Here is a 21,505-nt window from a genome sequence, read left to right on the forward strand (position 1 = left end):
CAGGTTTTTAAATATCAGCACACTTTAGTAAAGCAACTGAGAAACCATGTGGTTTGTATGTTCCTGGCATTAAATGTGCAAAAGCCATATGCGTAGAACTGGCAGAACACGGAAGGCTTTCTCCTTTGTATATCTTCATATATTGATTTATCTGACATACTCAGTGACAGTCCATAAATCATTGTTTTAAACTGAGATTGCAACCTATTAGTGGAGATAAAAAGAATAAAAATAGAATATATAAGACTGCAATGCAGGCATTTGATGAGGTATTAATATTGTTTTAAGAAACTAGTATTTTAGGGGTGTGTCTGTGTGTGTTTAGCAGCCAGTGTAAGCTGTATGTGTTACTGTGCATTGTGGCTAAAAAAGTATGAAACATTGCCACAAATATTCTTTGACTATTTCAGATCTCTCAGAAAATGTGTGCTTAGTTGTAAAACTAAAATATATTACTTTGTAGTTCTAATGTATTACTGAAATGTATAATACACTATGAATAAATTTGTTGCCTTTTCTTTGCAGTTAGCTTCTGGAATTTATAATTTTGCCTGCTCTCTGTGGAATCACCACACAGACACATTCCTGCAAGAAGTTTCTTCTGGCAATGAAGCTGCAATTTTGAGTTCACTAGAACGAACACTGCTATCATTGAAAGGTACTATTAAGCTTGATATGTTCATTTTTGAAATGAGATACCTCAGAACAGTCACCAAATAGTTCCTTTAGACGGGTTTTCTGTTCCCAGTTTCACTGGAAAAATAAGAGGTTTATTTCTCCCTGAAAGATAAGGGCTTATTTATAGTTTTGTGGCAGTAGCTCTTCCTCTACCCCTTCTGATTTTTGAAAGCACATATAATAAGTTGAAGTGGATAGTTAGATTCACATTATTGCGGCCTCATGGCTCTGAATATATTTTTTTCAAATGCTTCTAGTTTTTGTTTCTACTTTATTTTTCTCATTCTGGACCCCTACACTTATCCTTGTCATGCCAACTTTCCTAAAATTTTTTCTCCAGGCTGGAATGAGCACTGTCTTTCATCCCTCCTTTCCCTGGAAAGGCAAGCCTCCATCTTTCATCTTAGTGCCTCAGGCTCACTTGGATTTCAGAAGGTGCTTTATAGGATGCCATCTTGGCCTGTGTCTTGGTATATGTTGCTTGCAGGCATTCCCTTAGCATAAATCTCCATCTCACTTTCCTTGAGCTGTTTATCTTGATGAATGTATTCCTAGGTTCCTTTTCTTCTAAAATATACTCATTTGTCTTATTCTCTTACTTTTCTAGTCCCTCTCTTCTTTCTGTTCTGGTTGCTAAGACTTTTTTAGTTCTTTTTGTTTGTTTGTTTTTTGTTTTTTTGGACAGACAGGGTCTTGCTCTGTCTCCCAGGTTGAAGTGCAGTGGCATAATCATAGCTCACTACAACCTTGAACTCCTGGGCTCAAGTGATCCTCTCACTGCAGCTTCCTGAGTAACTGGGACTACAGGCACATGCCACTGCACCAGGCTGATTTTTACATCTTTCTGGTCTTGAACTCCTAGCTTTAAGTGATCCTCCTGCCTTGACCTCCCAAAGTGATAGGATTACAGGGATGAGCACTGTGCCTGGCCTAGTTTGTTTTTCTTAGTTTGATCTCAGGCAGCATCAGTTTCTCTCTTACTCTCAGTTTGCATTCTTTTTAGTTTTACCTATAAGTTCTTTTATCGTACTCATTCTGGTACCTTGGAATCCCATCAGTCTTGGCATCGCCTTAATACATCACTTACTTTCACCAGACAATGGATGCACAAATCCCAAACTGTCAGCACATTTTGTGAAACCTGTGAAGAAATGTTTGAATGATTTTAAAGGACTGTTGAAAAATAAAATCCATTGTAGAAGTAGTTATAAAAGTGAGTGGAGATGGTTTTGTTAACATTCTTGAGGAAGAAATTACAGACATTGGAGAGAAATGTTTGCTCAGAAAGAATTACAGAAACTGATATAAGGCTGTGTATACAAAGCTGTGTGTATAGTAGTATATTTAATGATTAAGAAATTTTCAAGATTTCTTTTGATTATAGGGTTTTCTTACCTTATTGATTTCAAAGCCTAACTCCTGACGAAAAAGATGTAGCTTTACTATATCTTTGCCTGCCTTAAGCTTTTTAATACCTCACCATCTGAAGGTCTTAGATTCACATTAACTTTTTAGAGATATCCTGCCCTGGAAAATTTTGTTCTGTAACTATACATTTCTGTTCTGAAATGAAGAAATACTCCAAACTACAATTTTTGTTTTGTGTAATCTCTATCTGAATTTACACTTACGTGCATTTAGTATCTTTTAGACATGGATGCATTCATTATTTCATTCGACAAATCTATAGATCCTTGGCACTGGGGAGACAGACTTAATAAAATGATCCCACAAATATATTTAAAGTGACACCTGTGACAGAGGCTTTATGATATTATGATAACTGATAATATGATCAGAAAAATTTCCCTGAGAAAGTGATCTTTGAGCTGTAATCTTAAAGGATAAGTGGAAGTTAACTAGGTGATGAAGGGAGAAGGAAAGGATCCTCTCAGGTATTGTGGCTCAAGGTCTTGTGGTGAGAAAGCATATCCAGAATAAGGGATTCAATTTGAATTCTGTTTTCTCCTTACGAAAACGAGGAAAACTTACTGCATCGTTATGATGCAGCAACTTCTGAGTTGCATATGATGATTTCAAACTGAAGGTCTTATAGACAGCTACATTCTAAACTTAATTTTAATACATTGCTTTAGACTTACAAACCGAAGGTCTAGTAGACAGCTACATTCTAAACCTAAATTTAATCCATTGCCTTTAGACCTCATAAACACTATTTAAGGTATAATTCTTTAGTACTGTAATAGCAATCCTTATTTAATGAACTTTTAATTTTGTCTCTTACACTGTCACCATCCTTATTGTTGCTAAATAATTGCTATATTTTACATATACCATGGAATCCATCAATAACCCTATAAAGTAGGATTTGTTAACCGCATTTTACAGATGAGGAAACTGAGATGAGAAATGTTGCCCAAAGTAGTATTACAACTGTAGACAATAGATCAAGGATTTAAATCTAGCTCTGCCTTCAAATCTGTTATCCTGCTTATCTCTCTGTGTACACTAGTTTGTCAGTGTTACTCATGAAATGTCACAGTTGAGCAGTGTAGTTGATTCCAAATTTGGAAATAGGGTTTAATTTTTATATCGTTTTTAGGAGATAATTGTATTTCCATTAATATAGCCGAAAACTGAATGAAGGTTTTTGGTTACCGTTGAGTCATAGCTTAAAGTTTGTGAAATAGAAATGACTTTCTCAATTTCAGTTACTGCAGGTAAGAAGTACTAACAATTATATAAATTACACTAAATTTTGGAATCCAGTTTTAGAAACATGAGTAGTAACAATAAGTCAGAAGAACACTGCATTTGTGAGTTAGAAGAACTAGACTTTAGTTCCATTTTTCCCACTAATTTCCCAGCCAAATGACCAGGAGTTAACTTTCCAACCCAGATTAACCTCCAAGCTTGATTAAGTTTTGCAATTCTGAATCTTTCTTGTGATTGTAATTTTAGTAGGATAAAATAAGATTCAAGTAAAGCTTGCTTTTGCTTTTCAGTGCTGCGTAAGTTAACTGTTAATGGATTTGTGGAACCTCATAAGAATATGGAGGTGATGGTAAGTGATCGAAGAAATTTGCTGTGACTTTGGGAAAGTGGTATTTTCCTGAATGTTTGAAAGAGTGCTCTTTTTATTTGGCATTCAATTAGAAGAGTTTTTATTAAGTGACCATCTAGTTTTTTACCATTCTGACTTTTAGACTTCTGGTCTGTTTTCACTACATCAAAGTGGCTGTTGTGTGAAGGAGAGGAAATAGGCCTAGGATATTTCTCAAGGATGCCATGGTACATTGAGAGTGTTAATTTGAATTTAAATTAAAATGAACTCCTGTGAATTTGAATGCTATTATAACATTACCAGGTACATTGTAAATAGTTTTTTATATACTTAATATTTTCCTTTGTTTTTATGTATTTAAAATAAATTTGTTTTTTTCTGTCTGATCATTACATTAATACATGCTGTTCACAATCAATTAAAAAAATAAATATATAAGAGAAAAACCTTGTCAATAAATCGATCATAAGTTGTGATATATATTCATTGTCTGTAGATAGCCATCTTCTTTTTTTTTTTTTTTTTTTTTTTTTTTTTGAGACAGAGTCTCGCTCTGTCACCCAGGCTGGAGTGCAGTGGTGCAGTCTTGGGTCTCTGCAACCTCTGCCTCCTGGGTTCAAGCAGTTCTCCTGCCTCAGCCTCCCAAGTCACTGGGATTACAGGCATGCACCACCATGCCCAGCTAATTTTTGTATTTTTAGTAGAGACGAAGTTTTACCATTTCTGCCAGGCTGGTCTTGAACTCCTGGCCTCAAGTGATCTGCCCTTTTTGGCTTCCGAAAGTGCTGGGATTACAGGCTTGGCCGTGCTTGGCCTAGTTGCATTTCTTTTTTTTTTTTTTAAAATAAATGAAATGGCATTTTATTATACTTAGATTTGTGTTAGAATTCACAGTAAGTTTAGCTCAGGTAAAACATTGCTTTTTGTAAGTCGCTTTGGGGGTTGCTCAGGAGTTGAGGAAAAAACAAATCTAATTGGGTCTTTGGGTCTCCCCTACTAGATTTGACCAGAGCCATTAAAAAAAATAGTATTTTTTGTATATTGAGGTTTGATTGAAGTAATTGTTCTATTGTTAAATGAGTTTAAAACCCATAATATACATCATCATAATGTGATGGTTATTTCATTTTATGAAAATTGACATGCTTTTTTTTAAGTTAAAAATTTCAGGAAAAGAAACTAAAAAATCATTCATAATCTTACTCTTCAGAGATACTGCTAAAGTTTATAAATATCCTTGAAGACATTTTATGCATATTATTCTGGATAGACCTTCTCACTCAATTTGATACAAATGGGATCATATTTACATGTCGTTTCCTTACTTTTTAAAAACAAACTCAGCATATTACATATATTTTTCCATTGTCAGTTATATTGTTACATGTTATTTTTAAAATGATTGTATGGTACATTCATATGATTAGTGTCAGTAGACTAATTTTTTAAAAAAGAGATATTAATATAGGATTCTTATAATGTACTTACACAATTGTCTGTTGACGGACATACAGGTTCTCAGTTTTTCATTTTTGATAAAAGATATGGACTGATCATTTGGGTAACTGTTATGTGGTTTTCTAATCTCTTTAGGATAAATTCCTAGAATTGAAAATGTTGGGTTAAGCATATGCCCCTCCACAGTATTGATACATATTACCAAATTGCTGAAAGATAATGTCAAGCCTCGATTTAAATCCAGATACATTTCGATTGCCATGCTGCCAAAAAAGATTTTCGAGAAACCAACTTGACAACTCCTTTTCAATTCCCTAACTAGAATGTATAAATTCCATGAAGGGAGGGGCTTTGTTTTATTCGCTGTGACTCGGAGCTTGGAACAGTCTTTTCTGTATAGTAAATGCTCAATAGTTGTTTGTTTAATGAATAAATCCTTTATGGTAGAAGCAATATGTCAAAGTCTCAGGAATTATATGCAATATTACTCTCATTATATTAACCAGAATATTATGTTTATCTTTTTTTAAGTGAAAATGAATTGATTTGATTTATATTCCTATAAGGTGAAATAGTAGTTTGCACTGGCTGTCATCGATATTTTGTGAGCTTTGGCTTTCCCTTGAGAGTTTTCTGGTTGCATAAATCACATGTCAACCTTTACTCAGTTATAAATGCCTTATTGTAGCAATTAAGTACATCAGTCAATTAGAGGATAAAATGTTAACAAATTAAAGACAACATTTCAAATAATATAAAAATCTTTTTTTTTTTTTTTTTTGAGACAGTCTCACTCTGTCGCGCAGGCTGGAGTGCAATGGCGTGATCTCGGCTCACTGCAACCTCTGCCTCCCAAGGTCAAGCGATTCTCCTGCCTCAGCCTCTTGAGTAGCTGGGGTTACAGGTGCCTGCCACCATGCCCAGCTAAGTTTTTGTATTTTTGGTAGAGACGGGGTTTCACAATGTTGGCCAGGCTGGTCTCGAACTCCTGACCTCAGTTGATCCACCCGCCTCGGCCTCCCAAAGTTCTGGGATTACAGGCGTGAGCCACCACACTTGGCTTAAAAATCTTAAAAATAACAGAGAGCTTAAAAGATGCTAAAGAAAAGATATATGACAGTGGTGAGATTCTGGGCCCTGAAGGCAGGCACAGTGATAATGATGGCTTTTAAAATCGATGGCCTTTATAATTTTCTACTTTCTTTGGAGAATAGGACTATTGGACCCTTTTATAAAGTTAACAGACTTATGGGATCTTGGTGACCTAATTCTTTTATAATTGAAACCTTTTGCTGTTTCATTGTTCTGTTGTTACTTTTCATTATCAATTATTGTCAACTATGCTTTAAAAAGACAGAAATAGTATGAAAATGGAAGATGATGCAGTAGTGAAGTTGTCATCCTGAAGTTTTCTTCTTTTTTTAAATTGTGTTGCCAATTAATTTAACCCAATTAAATTGTGTTAATTGTATTTCATCACGTTTCCAGAAGGTATAAAGGAAGACTGGAAACATTGATTTTACTCTGCTTTTAGCTTTTATTTAACAGTTGAGAATTCAGAATTTTACATTTTCTGCTTGAAATGACAGAGAGAAGGAAGGAAATTGACAGAGGAAGAGGTTTACTAGTTTTTTGATGAGTCAGTGGATGGATATTGAGAGTCTGAGAGCAGTACTCTTGACTCTAATGTTAACAATGAAATTGTCTAAGGAAAATCTCAGACACTAAGTCTTCAGATAATGGTATCCTAGTTGAATTTTCTCAAACTCAAGAATTGATCAATGAACAATATATTTGATAGAGAGGAATTGTGGCATTCTAGAGTTAATTATTTTCCAGGAAAGCCATCATCATCCAGTATTTCATGACAAATGAGACTACCTCATTTGCTAATTGAGTGTGTGACATCTTTTATGATGTTTATACACCAACATTTATTGATACAAAGATGTCTTCTATGCTTAAATTCTTATTAAAATTTTTAAGTTTTTTTCACTATTTCTTTATATTTATTCCTGTTAATTATTCAAAACATATCTTAGAATATGTTTTCAAAAAAAGGGTCCATTAGACCTAGCTGGTATATGTTGATGCCTATCTAATACTAGTATCTGAGGACCAATGTGTCATATACTTGAAGTTAAGAACTGTGGTGTAAATAATTGGTACCATGTGTTCATTTTTTGAATACTTATTATTGCCAAACGATGTTTCAGGATTCTGGATAAAGCAGTAAACAGAGCAAAGTTCTGGCTCTCAAGGAGCTTATATTCTAATGGGAGGAGCCACATAATAAATGGACAAGTGCAGTATTTCAAGGGATTTAAAGCCTGTGAAGAAAAATTAAAGCAGTAAGGAGAATAGAGAGTGTTTAGTGAAACAGGATGCTTAAAAAGTAATTTTTTATTCATTGCAAAGTGATTTATGTAACTAAATGAGATATTGAAGGGATGAAATACTATAGTTATTTTCCTGTGGACGACTTGTTTATAATAGTGAACTGTTTTTTGCTTAACTAATTTTAACTTATTTTTCTTCGGCTAATTTTTTTAAGTGATGTGATAGATTTGTTTTGGTATCCCTGAAAAAGATACAAGGTAAATGTTTATAACAATAAATTGAGATATTTAAAATAATATTCTTTTCTAGGGTTTTTTACATGGAATATTTGAACGTCTAAAACAGTTTCTGGAATGCAGTAAGTACTTTCGTTGCAGTCCTTTTTACTGTAGAATTTTTATTCATTAGTAGCTTATTCATTCATTAATAGCTAGGATTAATGAGGGATTAATAGATGCTTATTCATTAATAGCTTCTGTTGCACACTTATAAATCTAGAGAAAGTGTCTTGTCCAATTGCTCCCTGAGTGAGCACTTGATAGCTGCAGAGATCCTATATGTAGCTAAAATGAGTATTTTGTATCAACTTTCTGAAGTTAGAAGCTTAGCTTTTGCCTCATATACAGAAGTCCCTCCTTGGACTACGAACCAAGACCTACAGCGGATGCCTGAAACCACAGATAGTACCAAACCCTTTGTGTACTATGCTTTTTTGAGCTAGTATCCAAAATGGCTACTAAGTGATTAACAGGCAGGTAGTGTATATAGCTGGTATTTGCTGGACAAAGGGAGGATTCTCGTCTGGGGCAGGACGGAGTGGGTCAGCTTGAGATTTATCTCCATACTCAGAATGGTGCACAATTGAAAACTTAAGAATTGTTTATTTCTGGAATTTTATATTTAATATTTTTGGATTGTGATTGACTGCAGGCACCTGATACTGAGGAAAGCAAAACTAAGAGGGGACTACTGTACTGGTAATGAGTGTAGAGGAATTTGCCTTGTTGCCAGGCTGGTCTCAAACTCCTGGGCTAAAGCGATCCGCCCACCTTTGTCTCCCAAAGTGTTGGAATTGCAGATATGAGCCACCTTGTCTGGCCAAAATAGATTTAAAAAAAAAGATTTCCCTGAGGCCAGGCGTGGTGACTCAACGCCTGTAACCCCAGCACTTTGGGAGGCCGAGGCGAGTGAGTCGCTTGAGCCCAGGAGTTGGAGACCAGCCTGGGCAACATGACGAAACCCTGTCTCTACAAAAAATATTAAAAAGTTAGCCAGGCATGATGGTGTGTGCCTGTAGTCCCAGTTACTCAGGACGGATTGATTGAGCCTGAGAGGTTGAGGCTGCAGTGAGCAGTGATCTCATCACTACACTTCAACCTGGGTGACAGAACAAACCCCATCTCAAGAAAAAAAAATTCTATTTTGTGTTCATTCCTCTTTCTGTATTTCTACTGCAGCTACCCCTTTCCAGGCAGATGTCCACAACAGTCATATGTTTAACAAATATTGTCTATAGACTATATGCCAAATCCTGTTTAGACTTCTTGTAGACTCTTTTCGCTTTTAGTATTTGTTGCATATCACTGTGATATAACTTTCTGTAACTGGCAGTTTGATTTTGTAAATCCCTTGTTCATTAACCTCCACTGGCTTATCTTTAGCATCCTTTGTTATTCACTACCCCATGTGAGAGACTATAGCATTTATATTTGTGTTGTATTTTACTGGTGGTCTGTTTGTTATCTTCTTCTTCCATGTGATTGTAAGCACCTTTATTTGGACATACACATGTGTGCACACACAAGTGTGTGTTTGTGTGTTTGGGGATTTGCTCTCCTGAGAAGATATCTTAGTCTACTCACTTTTAAGGAGCTACTGATTGTTTTATGTTAGTCAGTTTCAATTTAGTAAAACATTGTTGAGCCTGTGGGCAGACACTGTCCTGGGTACTATGCATGGAAAGATGAATAAGAATGTTCATATTGTGTAGTTACTATGTTTTCTAAAAATAGTCATTTTTCTCTGGCCATCCTTGTGGGCGTAGCAGAAGGAAGAATAAAAGCCCTTCCAGGAGAGAATAAGACAAATTAACAAACAGAATATGAAGAGTATTATTAGAGAGCAGATTAGCTGATGAGCTGGTGGACATTGTTCTGAATGTACAAAAAAAAATCGCCAGGGAAATTATCAGAATAAATTTGTCAGAAGATATAGGAAAAATGATAATGAGTGTGTTACTCCTTGACTACTTTATTTTACACATGTATGTTGCTTGAAAAATACTTCAACTGTGACATTTAGTTTTTAAATGTTATCCATGATTCATTGCTAAAACGACTATTCTTTTACTATAAAAGTGAGTTCAGTTCATATATTAGGGTTAATTTTATATAATATGGCACAGAGGGCTACTGTGTCTGTTACTCAGTGTAAATCTTGGTATTGCTTTTTAAATAATGAATTCATAATGCAAAATATGCAAAAATAAAACCAGCAATATTATTTTTGTAAAAATTTTGATGTTGTCTTGGTTGTGAACTTATTAACTTCTAATATTTGAAATGTATTTTTAACAGGTAGAAGTATAGGTACAGATAATGTGTGTAGAGATAGACTGGAAAAGACCATCATTCTTTTTACTAAAGTGGTAAGTTTTTTAAAAACTTGTTTTCTCAAATATAATACACATATTCAGATTTACAAAGGAAAATGATATTTTTATAACCATACATTTTCACTTTAGTGTAAGGAAACCTATGTTCTGACTCCTTATAGGAAAGCTAAAAATTGCTTTTATATGTACTTTAGAATGCATATAATAATTAAATTTACATACCATGTGTCATAGTGTAAGTCACCTTGGTACATGAAAAATAAATTCTAATAAATATTAGAGTATTTGATTCCTCTAAAGCTCATTATTCTTTGACCCACTGGAGAAAGTGGAGATAAAGAAGATAGCAGTGCAGTTCAGCTAGAAGTAGATCAAATGTAGCAGACAGGAAGTCAGTATATTCAGAATGACCATCAGACTATCTTCGTCCATACTAAGCATCTTTTGAGTGGAATTATAGGGGGTGCGCTGTGGTAGGCAGTGTGTATAATTACATTTTATAAAACATTAACTTTTAATGATATTTTGGTCTTGAAGGATTGGGAGAAGTGCAAATAATTGGGTTACAGCAGTTAGAAAGACCTAGCTTGGGGACTGCTTGCACTAAAATAGGTACTTGAAGACAGGTGGGAACAACTAAATCTGTAATCTATTTCCCTTTTTAATTAAAGATTCAATAATAGGGTAGGGGTTGCTTATTCCCTGGGAGGGGAGTAAAGGAGCAGAAATGAGCTGTTTTTTATCTTTGTGTTTTAGGTAGTAATTACCTTTAGTTTCAGTTGTCTTCGTTTCTCTTGTTCCAAGTAGCCTCAACAACAGAAGTTCACCTAATCTTCCAAGATACATTATAAAATTGACTAAGATTCTCTGTTTAAAAAAACACAAAGCAAAGTAAAACAGGATGATGTGCTTAGTCAAAGAGGACTATACAGTATATATCACTGACACTTGCCTGCGGCTCTGCTGCCTCACAGTCCCTACTCACTATATCAGTTACATAAGTAAAATTTAAAAAGCATTATTTAGATGATCTGTTTTAGAAAACACATTTATTTAGCTGTGAGATTTTTCAGTTCTTTCAACTCTTTCTTAAGGTAATGACATGGATAGATGGTATCTGTAATTTATTCTACTTAACATGTTGGAAGCAATTTCATTTATGAAATTCATATTTATGATCTCTAAGACTTTATTAAAGCTTTTTAAATTAGAACATTTCAAAATAGAATAAAGTTACTATAAATAGAATTGAGTAACTTTGAGTCTTCATGACATCATCACTCAGCAACAATTATCAACATATGGCCACAGTCAGTCTTACTTTGTCTGTGTGCTGCTTTCCCCTCCCACCCTTGCTGGTTATTTTAAATCGAATCCCAGATATTATCTAGTATTACCTGTAAATATTTGAGTGCGTGTCTTTAAGTGGTAGGGTTGTTTTGTTTTGTGTGTGTGTATTTTCTGAGATGGGGTCTGACTCTGTCACCCACGCTGGAGTGCAGTGGTGTGATCTTGACTCACTGCAGCCTCTGCCTTGTGGGCTCAAGTGATCCTTCCACCTCAGCCTCCTAAGTAGCTGGGACCAGAGGCACATGCCACCACGCCCAGCTAAATTTTTGTATTTTTGGTAGAGATAGGGTTTTGCCATGTTGCCCAGGCTGGTCTCGAACTTCTGGGCTCAAGTGATCCACCCACTGCCACCTCCCAAAGTGCTGGGATTACAGGCGTGAGCCACCACACCTGGCCTGTTTTATTTTTTTTAAATAGGATCTTAACACAATTTTATATTTAAAAAATACTGATAGCTTCTTAATATCATTTAAATATCTAGTCAGATTTTAGATTTCTCTGATTGTGTCATGAATTTTTCTAGTTTGTTTGAATCAGGATTCAACTTGCATCAGCTCCCTTTCCATCTGTTCCAAAGTTATTTCCTTGCTGTTATTTCTTGAGGTAACAGGTAATTTTCTGTACTTTTTCATGTTTTGAATTTGATTGCTTGTGTCGCCACATGCTTTTTGTTAACATGTTCTTTAGTCTTCACACTTCTCCTCCCATATTTCTTATAAGTTGGTAGTTAGATGTAGAGGTTTAGTCACTTTCAGGCTTTTTTGTGGGGGATAGGGCAGGGATGGCAAGAATACATTATAAGTATTGTTCTGTATTGTATGACGTGCACACATGCAATGTGACACACAATGTCTGGTTGTCTCTTTTTCTCTTTTTTAAATTATACTTTAAGTTCTAGGGTACATGTGCACAATGTGCAGATTTGTTACATATGTATAATTGTGCCATGTTGATTGGCTGCACCAATTAACTTGTTATTTGCATTAGGTATTTCTCCTAATGCTATCCCTCCCCCATTCCACCACCCCACGGCAGGCCCCGGTGTGTGATGTTCCCCACCATGTGTCCAAGTGTTCTCATTGTTCGATTCCCACCTATGAGTGAGAATGTGCGGTGTTTGGTTTTCCGTCCTTGCGATAGTATGCTCAGAATGATGGTTTCCAGCTTCATCCATGTCCCTACAAAAGGACGTGAACTCATCCTTTTTTATGGCTGCATAGTATTGCATGGTGTATATGTGCCACATTTTCTTAATCCAGTCTATCGTTGATGGACATTTGGGTTGGTTCCAAGTCTTTGCTATTGTGAATAGCGCCACAATAAACATACGTGTGCCTGTGTCTTTATAGTAGCATGATTTATAATCCTTTGGGTATATAACCAGTAATGGGATGGCTGGGTCAAATGGTATTTCTAGTTCTAGATCCTTGAGGAATCGCCACACTGTCTTCCACAATGGTTGAACCAGTTTACAGTCCCACCAACAGTGTAAAAGCATTCCTATTTCTCCACATCCTCTCCAGCACCTGTTGTTTCCTGACTTTTTAATGGTCGCCATTCTAACTGGTGTGAGATGGTATCTCATTGTGGTTTTGATTTGCATCTCTCTGATAGCCAGTGATGATGAGCATTTTTTCATGTGTCTGCTGGCTGCATAAATGTCTTCTTTTGAGAAGCGTCTGTTCATGTCCTTTGCCCACTTTTTGATAGGGTTGTTTGATTTTTTCTTGTGATTTTGTTTAACTTCTTTGTAGATTCTGGATATTAGCCCTTTGTCAGATGAGTAGATTGCAAAAATTTTCTCCCATTCTGTAGGTTGCCTATTCACTCTCATGGTAGTTTTCTTTTGCTGTACAGAAGCTCTTTAGTTTAATTAGCTCCCATTTGTCAATTTTGGCTTTTGTTGCCATTGCTTTTAGTGTTTTAGTCATGAAGTCTTTGCCCATACCTATGTCCTGAATGGTACTGCCTAGGTTTTCTTCTAGGGTTTTTATGGTTTTAGGTCTAACATTTAAGTCTTTAATCCATCTTGAATTAATTTTTGTATAAGGTGTAAGGAAGGGATCCAGTTTCAGCTTTCTACATATGGCTAGCTAGTTTTCCCAGCACCATTTATTCAATAGGAATCCTTTCGCCATTTCTTGTTTTTGTCAGGTTTGTCAAAGATCAGATGGTTGTAGATGTGTGGTGTTATTTCTGAGAGCCCTATTCTGTTCCGTTGGTCTATATCTCTGTTTTCGTACCAGTACCATGCTGTTTTGGTTACTGTAGCCTTGTAGTATAGTTTGAAGTCAGGTAGCATGATGCCTCCAGCTTTGTTCTTTTGGCTTAGGACTGTCTCGGCAATGCGGGCTTTTTTTTGGTTCCAAATGAACTTTAAAGTAGTTTTTTTCCAATTCTGTGAAGAAAGTCATTGGTAGCTTGATGGAGATGGCATTGAATCTATCAATTACCTTGGACAGTATGGCCATTTTCACGATATTGATTCTTCCTATCCACGAGCATGGAATGTTCTTCTATTTGTTTGTGTCCTCTTATTTTGTTGAGCAGTGGTTTGTAGTTCTTCTTGAAGAAGTCCTTCACATGCCTTGTAAGTTGGATTCCTAGGTATTTTATTCTCTTTGTAGCAGTTGTGAATGGGAGTTCACTTATGATTTGGCTGTTTGTCTATTACTGATGTATAGGAATGCTTGTGATTTTTGCACATTAATTTTGTATTCTGAGACTTTGCTGAAGTTGCTTATCAGCTTAAGGAGATTTTGGGCTGAGATGATGGGGTTTTCTAAATGTACAATCATGTCATCTGCAAACAGGGACAATTTGACTTCCTCTTTCATTTTTTTTTTTTTTTTTTTTTTTTTTGGAGACAGAGTCTTGCTCTGTCGCCCAGGTTGGAGTGCAGTGGCGTGATCTTGGGTCACTGCAAGCTCTGCTTCCTGGGTTCACACCATTCTCCTGCCTCAGCCTCCTGAGTAGCTGGGACTACAGGCACCCGCCACCATGCCCGGCTAATTTTTTTTTGTATTTTTAGTAGAGACAGGGTTTCACCGTGTTAGCCAGGATGGTCTCGATCTCCTGATCTTGTGATCCACCCGCCTTGGCCTCCCAAAGTGCTGGGATTACAGGCATGAGCCACCGCGCCTGGCCGACTTCCTCTTTTCCTAATTGAATACCATTTATTTCTTTCTCTTGCCTGATTGCCCTGGCCGGAACTTCCAACACTATGTTGAATAGGAGTGGTGAGAGAGGGTATCCCTGTCTTGTGCCAGTTTTCAAAGGGAATGCTTCCAGTTTTTGCCCATTCAGTATGATATTGGTTGTGAGTTTGTCATAAATAGCACTTTTTATTTTGAGATATGTCCCATCAATACCTAGTTTATTGAGAGTTTTTAGGATGAAGGGCTGTTGAATTTTGTCGAAGGCCTTTTCTGCATCTATTGAGATAATCATGTGGTTTTTATCTTTGGGTCTGTTTATGTGATGGATTACGTTCATTGATTTGCGTATGTTGAACCAGCCTTGCATCCCAGGAATGAAGCCCACTTGATCATGGCAGATAAGCTTTTTGATGTGCTTCTGGATTCGGTTTGTTTGCCAGTATTTTATTGAGGATTTTCGCATTGATGTTCATCAGGGATATTGGTCTAAATCCCTGATTGTTCATCAGGGATATTGGTCTCTTTTTTTGTTGTATCTCTGCGAGGCTTTGGTATCAGGATGATGCTGGCCTCATAAAAGGATTTAGGGAGGATTCCCTCTTTTTCTATTGATTGGAATAGTTTCAGAAGGAATGGTACCAGCTCCTCTTTGTACCTCTGATAGAATTCGGCTGTGAATCTGTTTGGTCTGGGACTTTTTTTGATTGGTAAGCTATTGATTATTGCCTCAATTTCAGAGCCTGTTACTGGTCTCTTCAGAGATTCAGCTTCTAACTGGTTTAGTCTTGGGAGGGTGTATGTGTCCAGGAATTTATCCATTTCTTGTAGATTTTCTAGTTTATATGCTTAGAAGTGTTTACAGTGTTCTCTGATGTTGGTTTGTATTTCTGTGGGATTGGTGGTGATACTCCTTATCATTTTTTATTGTGTCTGTTTGATTCTTCTCTTTTCTTCTTTATTAGTCTTGCTAGTGGTCTGTCACTTTTGTTGATCTTTTCAAAAAACCAGCTCCTGGATTCATTGATTTTTTGAAGGGTTTTTTTGTGTCTCTGTCTCCTTCAGTTCTGCTCTGATCTTAGTTACTTCTTGCCTTCTGCTAGCTTTGGAATGTGTTTGCTCTTCCTTCTCTAGTTCTTTTAATTGTAATGTAAGGGTGTTGATTTTAGATCTTTCCTGCTTTCTCTTGTGGACATTTAGTGCTATAAATTTCCCTCTACACACTGCTTTAAATGTGTCCCAGAGACTCTGGTACATTGTGTCTTTGTTCTCATTGGTTTCTTTTTCTGTGGCTAAGATTGATGAGTGATCTATCAAATTTCCTCAGCAGCTTTTCTCTTATTTTAACAGCTGTTGATCATCATTTGCCTAGATCCATTATTTGATCAGGAGTTACACAATGATGGCATTCTAATTCTGTTATTCCTTTTGCATTTATTAGCTGAAATTCTTCTATAAAGAAGACATCTCCCTCCTTAGCTATTTGATAACATTAAAATATAATTCATATGGGAAAGGGAAGATAATATTTAAATTCTTTACCTTAGTCTATTACTTTTAAAGGTCTATTGTATATTTAAGCGTTTTGTATCATATTCACCCATTGTTATAAAATTAAGTATGAATTGAGTCTGTTTTGGTTTCTGTATTGAAAATAATAGAAAGTTCTTATTATCAGATATAATCTAACATAATCCTCATTATATGATGTGCCTCAAGAAGAGTTATGATAATGTAAAACTGAGTGAACATAGACTCCACACTAAGGTTCAAACTGCTAAATGATTATTAGTAAAGTTATAATTGGAGTGATTATATTCCAATATGAATTTGGGGAAAATACATTTTAATTTTTATTTATTTATTTTTCTACAGCTTTTGGACTTCTTGGATCAGCATCCTTTTTCATTTACTCCTCTAATTCAGAGATCACTGGAATTTTCTGTAAGCTATGTTTTTACAGAAGTTGGTGAAGGCGTTACATTTGAACGATTCATTGTCCAATGTATGAATCTTATTAAGATGATTGTCAAAAATTATGCTTATAAGCCATCCAAAAATTTTGAAGGTAATTCCTTTATTGGCAGTTTAAAAGAATTATTTTAATCTTAAGTGTGATATAATTGCTATAATTACAAACTTTTTAAAAAATGTCATTTTAGTCTGAAAAATAAATTGTTGCTGGGACATGAAAAAGATATAAGGATTATAGGCTTTAGTATGTTTATACTAGCTTTTAAAAACAACATAGTGCATTTAATAAGCCATTTTTTGTAGCACAAATTGGTTGAAGCTTAGGGACTTTAAGAATTAGGTACTATAGTCATCACTGCAGCTCATATTGTAGGGTGTATTCATTTGAACAAATAAAAGCTTTCTCTGACTTTATATAAAGTGTGATTGTTTCTAGACAGGTTAAATTGTTGTATTATTTGGAATTCATTCATATGCGTGTGTGCCAAGATGAATGAAGAAGTCTTGGTGGTGGGGGAGAGAGAAACACATGCACACACCCCCCACACCCTCTACATTATGAGGAAGTTATTTCAGTATGCCGTGATGGTATTGCATGGTAATATATAAGCTGTAATGCCAGAGGCAAGATTGATGTGAGTGTGTTGTAAGGAAAGAGTATCTTTGAGATTTGTTTATAATAAAAATGAAAATTTATACACAAGTGTATCTTCTTCCCTGAGAGTGTATTTTTTATTTATTTAAGTTACATAATCCAATGTAGCTACAATGTTTGGCTATACAATTAACTTGGAAATTTCATTTTTCTAGATAGCAGCCCTGAAACTCTTGAAGCCCATAAGATTAAGATGGCATTCTTCACATATCCTACTTTGACAGAGATATGTAGAAGATTAGTCTCTCATTATTTCCTATTAACTGAAGAAGAACTGACAATGTGGGAAGAAGACCCAGAAGGCTTTAGTAAGAATTAATTTTTTAGTGTTAGAATGACTTTTCTCCCCTTTCTATAAATATCTGTTTGAGTGATAGGTATAATATTGTATTTTCATACAGCACTTTTGATCTGGAAATCTTGGTGTTTTAAAATTAACTTACTCTTTCGTTGTTATCCATTAGAACAAATTGAGAAGCAGAAAATGAATGACTTATGCAAATATGTTGTAGAATTTTGTCCAGGAAAAGACCTTTTTAGTTTTTGGATTCCTTTACAAATATATCATGTAGTTTCAAACAAAAATATAAAATTAACTCTCTCTTACCCTGTCAGTTTCTATTTTGTGATTCATTCCATGTTATTTTTTATTTGTAGAAATTCTTGCAAAGAAATTTGGAGGTTTTTGATGAATAGTTTTTTTTTTTTTTTTGGACAGGACATCTTTATATCTGTTTGAATTTTAGTACTAGATAGATAAGTAGAATAAGTCTGTTGGGACCCTTGCTATAGAAAATCAAGGAATCATGTGTCTAATAAAGTACTTACTTGTATGTGAATTACTTAAGCTATGGTGGGACATAGGCTAGATTTTAGCCTCCCTTTTCTCTTTGGTTGTGTACCCTTGTGTAGTTACACGTTTCCTAATATTTTAAGAGTGCCCAAAAGTTTTTGTAATACTTATCTTCGCCATGCTTTTGGTTTTTAAAAGTAATTTTAGTTTTAATACAGGATTGTACTGTACAACATGTCTTTTCTTGTTTTTTTTTTTGCTTTTTTTGAAACATCTTTTTTCAATTTGCTTTCTTTATATAGTACATACAACATTGTAACATAAAGTGTTGAGTCCCTAAATTTTTAAGAGCCCTGAAGTATTTTTCTTTAAATTCAAGAAATTTATGGAGAGTGTGAGTAATCATTGTACCTAGTGAAACATGATTACTGTATTGAAATGAAATGATTCTCAGAATTCTAGTGATATTGGATCAGGTGATAGCAGATACCCTGGAAATGACAACTACTTTGAGCTTTTTTCCATAAAGAATTTTTATCGAAAATGAGAATGCTTATGGATATAGTAAGCACTTAATAGACGACTGTGAGATACACAACTGTGATCTGTAGCATATAGTAACAAAATCTGTGTAAGGCCTGTGTTCCCAAGGCTTTGCTCTTAATGTTATGTTTAAAAGAGTTCACAAAAATATTATACTGATGTTATTAAAATCTTTGTTTTCTAAACCAAGATGTTGAAAATGTCATTATTACATATTTTTAATTGCAGCAGTGGAAGAAACAGGAGGAGATTCTTGGAAATATAGTTTGAGGGTAAGTATTAATTGCAAGAAAAATTGATAGGGGAAAGCTTAATCTTTCTAAAGCTCTTAGTAGAGAATGACACTCTATTAAAGATTCCAGACATTTGCTGGGCATGGTGGCTCACACTTTAATCCTAGCACTTTGGGAAGCCAAGGTGGGAGGATCGCTTGAGGCCAGAAATTCAAGACCGGCCTGGTAAACATAGTGAGACCCTGTCTCTGCAAAAAGTAAAAAAAGGAAAAAAAAATTAGACCAGAGTGGTGGCGCATACCTGTAGTCCCAACTCTTCAGGAATCTGAGGCAGGAGGATTGTTTGAGCCCAGGAGGTTGAGGCTGCCGTGTGCCATGATGATGCCACTGCGTTCTAGCCTGGATTACAAAGCAAAACCCGTCTCTTAAAAAAAAAAAAAAAAAAATTAAAGATTCCCAACATTAAGTCAGACAGATAAGAAACTGTTTATAAGAAACTAAGAACTATATTCATATTAAATTATGACGTTTAATCTGAGTTTTTTTTCTTTTTTCTTTTTCTTTTTTTTTTTTTTTGAGACAGAATCTCACTCTGTTGCCCAGGCTGGAGTGCACTGGTGCATCTCGGCTCACTGCAAGCTCCGCCCCCTGGGTTCATGCCATTCTCCTGCCTCAGCCTCCCGAGTAGCTGGGAATACAGGCGCCCGCCACCACGCCCAGCTAATTTTTTGTTTATTTAGTAGAGACGGGGTTTCATCTTGTTAGCCAGGTTGGTCTCGATCTCCTGACCTCGTGAGCCACCCGCCTCGGCCTCCCTAAGTGCTGGGATTACAGGCGTGAGCCACTGTGCCTGGCCTTTTCTTTTGTTTAACTTGGGGTCGGAAAACAAATTTTTTCTTCATCTTTTAGTACATTGCTTGGGAAATAATTGTCATTACACAAATAGAAAATGTTTGTCAAACTGAAAGCTGCCATTCTTAAGCTAGAATTTTTTCCTTCTATATATTTCATTAGTAAAGTTTCTTTTGGTATGTTATTTCTCTTACCACTTCATGTGATTCTCAGAGACTAGCCCATTGCTTTCAGTTATAGGATACTTTTACAACGCATTTATTAATATGACAAATGTTTTGCCGTTACCAGATGTGATGTTTGAGCTCTTCTTTTTAAGATTTGCACTTACATAATTTACATAATTAGCTATTTGTCTTCTAAAAATGTTATCTTTAATGTTTTTAGATTCATAAACATACAGTTGTTAACCAGAGAGATTACTGGTGATTTTAAAACTTTAAAAAATTTCATTCCTTTAATTTTTAAAAGTTTCTTTTATGGAGAAGTTTAAACATATTAAAAAATAGAATAATATAATGAGCCCTTCATGATAAGCTAGTTTATTAGTTATCAACTCATGGCTACTTTAGCTTCCTGTAAACATCTCCCAGTGTTGATGGTTATCTGAGATGACACATCCTCTGACCATATTTCAGTGTGTATATTTATAATGTTCCTTTTAAAACACCACACAATACCTTAAAAATTTAATTAAAAAATTTAAATATTGTGAACGATCTAGTGATTAAATTCCTTTTTAAAATTTAAATAAAAAATTATTTTAAAAAATTTTTTGTGGGTACATAGTAGGTGTACATATTTATGGGGTACATGAGATGTTTTGATACCAGCATGCAATGTGAAATGATTCAGTACTTTTAAGAACCAAACAAATCATTTTTTTAAATGTAGCTAATGCTAATTTCTGTTACCGCTTGTGTTTGTTAAGAGAAAGGCTACTTTATTTGGCAAATTGGAGTTCCTGTTTTTGCTTATTATATCATTGCTAAGAAAATACATAATAGCTACTCGGGAGGCTGAAGCAGGGGAATCGCTTGAACCTGGGAGGTGGAGGTTGCAGTGAGCCGAAATCACACCACTGCACTCCAGCCTGGTGACAGAGTGAGACTGTGTCTCAAAAAAAAAAGAATCTTGGGTAGTCAGCCATTTATAGTACTGAGCTATAAATGAGTGGCTACAGAATGCTTTTTAAATTTAAGGTATGATTAATTTAAAATGTACACTTTGCTTGCCATAGTTTTAAGTTTTTGAATGCGTAATGACAAATAATTGAAATGAAATCAACTTTCTTTTATTAATTATAATTCGATTTTGTTTTCCTTTGTGTTGGTTATAAAAAAATGGTAACCTTACTTTTTTTTTTTAACAAATCAAAAGTTGGAAACATTTTCAAAGTTTTAGAATTTTAAGATTAAGTATTTGCTTTATTAAAGAATTAGTCAATATAGTATGCAACTGTTTTGATGAGAAATTTGTATTTTTCCCTCTCCAGCCATGCACTGAAGTATTATTTATAGATATATTCCATGAATATAATCAGACTCTTACTCCTGTACTTCTAGAAATGATGCAAACACTTCAAGGTAAGGCATATTTTGTGATTAACTTTGAGTTAATCTCTTTAACGTTTAGTTAAGAAATAGTCTGAGTGCCTACAATGCATACTGTACTGTTTCCTGGGTCATATAATAAATATGAATTTGAGAAAAACAATTTTAAAACTTATTATCTTCCAAGGGGGTGGCATTTGAGATAGGCCTTGAATTATAGTTTGGACGATGATAAATTTTCCTGTAGTAAATACAATAGAAGCAAAAGCAAAACAGTAGTCA

General features: G+C 35.1%; 1 protein-coding gene across 2 annotated transcripts in view; it reads left to right on the forward strand.

Moving 5' to 3' along the window:
• IPO11 (importin 11) overlaps window positions 1–21,505 on the forward strand; it is a 215,820-nt gene that overhangs the window by 53,843 nt on the left and 140,472 nt on the right. For both annotated transcript variants that reach the window (NM_016338.5, NM_001134779.2), the window contains exons 6-13: window positions 526–658; window positions 3,645–3,703; window positions 7,811–7,859; window positions 10,078–10,148; window positions 16,496–16,688; window positions 17,405–17,557; window positions 18,814–18,857; window positions 21,166–21,256. In NM_016338.5, coding sequence (NP_057422.3) covers window positions 526–658; window positions 3,645–3,703; window positions 7,811–7,859; window positions 10,078–10,148; window positions 16,496–16,688; window positions 17,405–17,557; window positions 18,814–18,857; window positions 21,166–21,256 — 793 coding nt within the window. The remainder of the gene's footprint in view (window positions 1–525; window positions 659–3,644; window positions 3,704–7,810; window positions 7,860–10,077; window positions 10,149–16,495; window positions 16,689–17,404; window positions 17,558–18,813; window positions 18,858–21,165; window positions 21,257–21,505) is intronic.

This window comes from Homo sapiens, chromosome 5 (assembly GCF_000001405.40).
Source record: "Homo sapiens chromosome 5, GRCh38.p14 Primary Assembly".
NCBI lineage: Eukaryota > Metazoa > Chordata > Mammalia > Primates > Hominidae > Homo > Homo sapiens.